This window comes from Homo sapiens, chromosome 19 (assembly GCF_000001405.40).
Source record: "Homo sapiens chromosome 19, GRCh38.p14 Primary Assembly".
Classification (NCBI taxonomy): Eukaryota; Metazoa; Chordata; class Mammalia; order Primates; family Hominidae; genus Homo; species Homo sapiens.
This window is the reverse complement of record NC_000019.10, coordinates 33786680-33792722: the sequence shown is the minus strand read 5'-3', so window position 1 is coordinate 33792722 and position 6043 is coordinate 33786680.

Sequence of the window (6043 nt, the reverse complement as noted above, 5' to 3'; positions counted from 1 at the left end):
CTGCAACAGAATAGCTTCATGATAGAACACCTGATTCACAGAATGCGCCTGGAGGTGAATCAGTGGATTGGAATACTATTCAAGGACCAGCTCTCCCCAGCTTTCCTCTACCATCCTCAGCACGTTGGCCTGTTCTCATGCCAGCACTTCTCTGGTCTCAAAATGAACAGAGCTCAAAGCTTCACACCTGCCTGGACACCTATAGAAAACAATGGAATTATCCTAGTGGCTCCCACAGCCCTCCTTGTCACGTCCTATTGGCAAAAACTGGGTCACATGCCAAGTTACAAGCCAATGGGACTGCTGCCCTGAACCCCTGGGAGGGAAGTGGGTACTGGGCAAAGTCAGACTTTCCCTGGGGGTGGGAGTGGGGCGGGGGGGTGGGGGTTGGGGAGGAGAGGATGGATTCTGTGTTGAGGGCTGGGCCGCTGAATGTTTTAAGCACGGAACCCTGAGCTGGCCTGACACTGGGGAAAGTTCAAGAGCACTCCCAGGGACCCGTAGCCCTTCTTGTGCAACAGCGCTGAGAAGATTGTTGGAACAGATTAGGCTGTTGCAGTCAAGGGATGCCAGGGAGGCCCTCTCCAGGGGGGTCGGGGGAGTCCTCCACTTTTCTCAATCAATATAAGCCCAGACGGGATCCGTGGGAGAATGGCTTTCCATAGAATCCTGCCCCAAGTGACTGTGTGTGGCTGCCACTCTGGCTCCAAGTGACCACCTGAGGCTCTGCAGATACATTTGCAAGGGTCCAAGGGAGTTTTTCCCATGAAAAAAGTTTAGACAATGAGAGTGGCCTTTGTTCCATCAGAAACCCAGGGCTCTCCTTCCTTGGACCCAAGCCCAGTACATGGAGCCCCTTCCATGTGACAGGCAATCCCTTCTCCTTGGGCCTGCCCTGTAGTAGACAGTCTGTGCAGAGCATCAACTTGAGAATCTGAGTGCAGCTGGTTGACCTTGGGCTTTACCTCTCCAGTCTCAGTGTCCTCCTGTGTAGTGTGGGAACAGAGATAGGACCTAACGGGTGGGGTTGCTGGAAGAATTAAATGGGAGAACACAGCAAAGCAAAGAACTCGGCCCAGCCAGTGTGAGTGCTCTGTAAGTAGCAGCTGTTGTTTAGAGCTGATGGCTGATTTCCTCTTCCAACATGCCTCCCGTCAAGCCATGGTTTCAGCTCCACCCCTCAGGTACCGTTGCCCAGAGCCCACCCACAAGAGATGCACAGGAGCACAGGAAGGCGCGTACAGCAGAGTCCCCTTTCACTTTTTTTGTTTGTTTAAGAGGATGAGGCTGACTCCATTGCCCAGGTTGGAGTGCAGCAGCATGATGATAGCTCCCTGCAGCCTCAAACTCCTGGGCTGAAGCAATCCTCCCACTTCAGCCACCTAAGTAGCTGGGACAATAAGCGTGCACCACTACATCAGGGGCCAATTTAAAAATCTTTAGTAGACCAGGCACAATGTCTCATGCCTATAATCCCAGCATATTGGGAGGCCAAGGCAGGCGGATCACCTGAGACCAAAAGTTTGAGACCAGCCTGGCCAACGTGGTGAAACCCCGTCTCTACTAAAAATACAAAAAGTTAGCTGGGCATGGTGGCATGTGCCTGTAATCCCAGCTACTCGGGAGGCTGAGGCAGGAGAATTGCTTGAACCTGGGAGACAGAGGCTGCAGTGAGCCAAGATTGTGCCATTGCACTTCAGCCTGGGCAACAAGAGCAAATCTCCATCTTAAAAAAAAAAATCTTTAGTAGAGAGATGGGGTCTTGCTATGTTGCCCAAGCTGGTTTCAAACACCTGACCTCAAGCAATCCTCCTGCCTTCTCCTCCCAAAGTGCTGGGTTTACAGACAAGTGCCCAGTGGAGTCCATTTGAGTGCCCCCTTGACTCCAGAATTGACAAACAAGTCAGCAAGACAAACATGTATACATTACAAGGGAGAACGTAAACTCTGCCTAACATTTAAAGATAAAATACAAGACTCCAGAGAAATGTCATGATTGCTTTGGGCTGTGCCCCTGGGGTTGGGCCGGGAAGTGTCCCCAGGCTCCTCTGTCCCCAGGGCCCTTGTGGATGGGTGGGATGGATGATCCAGGCCCCGGAGGCAAAGCAAAGTGCGGCTCAAGGGAGGAGCCCTGGAGCAGAGTGCAGAGTCGGCTGGTAAATTCTTATTTTTCAAGCTGTGAAACTCTGTACTGTCTTTTATTTTATTTTTATTTTTTGAGACAGAGTCTCACTCTCCCCCCCAGGCTGGAGGGCAGTGGTGCAATCTCAGCTCAGTGCAACCTCTACTTCCCGGGTTCAAGCGTTTCTCCTGCCTCAGCCTCCTGAGTAGCTGGGATTACAGGTCTGCGCCATGACACCTGGCTAATTTTTGTATTTTTAGTAGAGATGGGGTTTCACCATGTTGGCCAGGCTGGTCTCAAACTCCTGAGCCCAAGTGACCCACCTGCCTCAGCCTCTCAAAGTGCTGGGATTTCAGGTGTGAGCCACTGTGCCCGGCCTCCGTGTACTGTCTTTTTAAAAAGTATTTAAAAATATAAATAAAGAATACATCATCATCATCATCAAAAAATAATGTATCACCATAAAATGTGTGAAAGGGAAACAAAAGTCCTCTGTCTCCCCTTCCCAGAAAGAACTGTGTCAATGATTTGACATTTGTCCATCTAGTTTTTTTTCTATTTATAAACACACAGGTGTGCAGGCACACACAGACACACAACTACACAGACCCACACAGATACACACATGCAGTGGCTCGGTGTGGTGGCTGATACCTGTGATCCCAGCACTTTGGAAGGCCGATGAGGGCAGATAACTTGAGGTCAGGAGTTCGAGACCAGCCTGGCCAACATAATGAAACCCCGTCTCTACTAAAGATACAAAAACTAGCTGGATATGGTGGCGGACACCTGTAATCCTGGCTACTGGGGAGGCTGAGTCAGGAGAATTGCTTGAACCCAGGAGGTGGACGTTGCAGTGAGCCAAGATCTCTCCACTGCACTCCAGCCTGGGTGACAGAGTGAGACTACATCTCAAAAAACAAAACAAAACAAAACAAAACACACTTACACACACACACACGTGCAAATACACACAGTCAATGACAAACATACAGAAACATAACTATAGACACAATTGCACAGACACAGACATGGACACACATACTAACAAATATGCAGAGACACGGACATATAGTTGCACAGATACGCAGACACATGCACACACAAGCGACACAAAGAGACACACACGTACCCATACCACACCCACACACATAATCTACAGACACAGACATGCACAGAACCATAGGTAAAAAGACACCTACACACACACCTGAGCACACAGATGTGCACACAGGCACTCACACATGTGCTTTTAAAGTATGGGATCAACCTATTCATACTGATTCACAGCCTGCCTTTCCTCCATCATGCATGCATTTCACAACGTAAAAAATAATGTAACAGACACCCAAATGTAACAAACCATTTTGAATATTTGCTTCAGATCCTCTTTAAAAAACAATACGAAATGATACAGATGTATTAAACCCCTCCCTTCCTCCCCAGCCAGTTGTATCCCTCCTGTGCACCCTTTTATACTTTTTGCAACATTGGGATATGTTCATAAACAATGGTAACACTTGTGTAGGTTTTAAACTTGTACATGAATGGGATGGAAGTGTGTATCCTTTTGTATCTTGTTTGTTGCCTCTTGCTGTTCTCATATCACTGAGCATGGGCCCTCCCTTGTCACTCCTTTGATCCACATGGGGCCTCTGTCTCCTGCTCTGTGTCCCCTCCCTCAACCAGCTCCCTGTCACCCTTCTCTCCCTCCTCTCTTCCCTGTCTTCTCTCTCTTCTTCTTCTCCTCCTCCCCCTTCCCTCCTCCCTCCCTCCCTCATCCTCGTCTCCCTCCCTCCATCTGCCACCACCTCTAGGCAATGCGAGCCTCTGGCTGAAAAGCTAGAAGGTCACCCAAGGAAGTGCAAAAAAGAAAAACGTCTTGATATATTTCATAATATTATCGCCCTCTGAATTTTTACAGTTCTGTTTTTACATCTAGGTCTCTCATCCTTTTGGAATTAACTTCTGCCTATGGTTTGAGGTCTGTATCTAAAAAAGAATTTATTTTTCAAAATGGCTAGGCAGTCTTCCAAAGGAATCAACTCGTAACAATTGTATTTATTAGGATTTTAACTGGAATTGGGGAGAATTGAGGGCTTCTGATTTTTGCTTTATTACAGAAAGAATATGGGAATACAGATACTTTGTAAAAAATTAAAACATCGATTCTTTTAGTAATTAGAACTAATTACAAATTAATCCCCCACACCCTGACAATCTCATTTTCTTCTTCCTAGGGAACCTCTGTTTGGTATGTGTGATGGGTTAAATTATTGATTCCAATTTTTCCCTGCCCTGTAGTACCTAGAGACAACTACACCCTTGCTACAGCTTCGTGGTTGGCAGAAATAACTTCTCCACACCCTGATACGGGGCTTCACCAAGTGGGAGTTAGCAGGTAGTGGCTTTACGGAGAGGCTTAAAGTGTGCTTCTGTGGCTGGACTTGGAGTTTCTGCTGTGGCCATAAGAATAAGCTCCAGGCAGCTGGAGACTGGAGCCATCGAGTGACATACACAGAGTGGGGTTGCATAAGCCTCCCACAGACACAGGAGAAATTCGTGCTTATCACTGTATGCCGCTGAAATTGTGTGTGTCTTTGTCACACGGCAATAGCTGACTATAAACTATATATCTGTATGTGTGTGTGTGTGTGTGTGTGTATGTATACACATCCATACACGAATTAGACTGGGATGATATACATGTTACTCTATTATTTATAATTATATAATATATATAATCATATGTTATATATACTATAGATATTATATAAAATTATGCATGTGTGTGTATTACATATCTTGGCCCACCCCTAACATTTTCAGGGCTGAGAAGAAGAGGATAAATAGAGATCCACGTATCATATGTCTAAATACCTAAAAGGTGTAAATCAAGCTAGCAACTATTTAATAACATACATTATATTCTCCCACCTTGATGAATATACCTTCATAATGACCTGGAAGCCCGGGTTCGGTCTGGAATTCTTGGATTCCTTGGAGTGGGGTGCTGGAATGTGCTGGCTTGGGAAGAGCTGGCTGTATTAGTCCATTCTTGCATTGCTATAAAGAAATACCTGAGACTGGGTAATTTATACAGAAAAGAGGTGGAGAGATCTTGGCTCACTGTACAGTGCTGCAGGCTGTACAGGAAGCATGGCTGGGGAGGCCTCAGGAAACTTACAATCATGGCGGAAGGTGAAGGGGAAGCAGGCACATCACATGGCTGGAGTAGGAGCAAGAGAGTGAGGGGGAAAGGTGCTACGCACTTTTAAACAACCAGATCTCGGGAGAACTCGCTCACTATCATGAGAACAGCACTAAGAGATGATGCTAAACCATTCATGATAAATCACCCCTGTGATCCAATTACCTCCCACCAGGCCTCCCCTCCAACACTGGGGATTACAATTCAACATGAGATGTGGTGGGGTCACAGATCCAGACCATATCACTGGCCCTTTCCATACATGGGGAAACCGAGGCCCAGGGAGGTGAAGCAGCTCCCCCCAAAGCCCAGTGGTAAGTCCAACATGCCTTTCTCTTCTGACCTGCTGCATAGCCATGCTGTTTGGAGGGGTTGGTTCATGTGTATAGTTTGGCTGCTATTGAAGAACTCTAGGAATGACTTAAGGAGGGCTAGTTCTTTCTTAGGACTCGTTAAGCTGAGGCCATCGTGGGTTAGAAGACATGCAGCCAGGGTCTGTCTTGTGAGGTATTTAACGATGTCCTTAAAACCCTGGTGCCTGTCCCCATGATCTGCTTTTCTGGACCTAAGTGACCACAAAGTCCCAGCCAACCAGCCCCAATTCCAGCCGGCTGTCCACCTGACCAGGCTGAACCCTCTCTAGAGAGGCAGGGAGAGAAAAGGGACCCAGCTCCTCCAGGATTCTGGTATGCCTCTCCCTGGGGGATCTT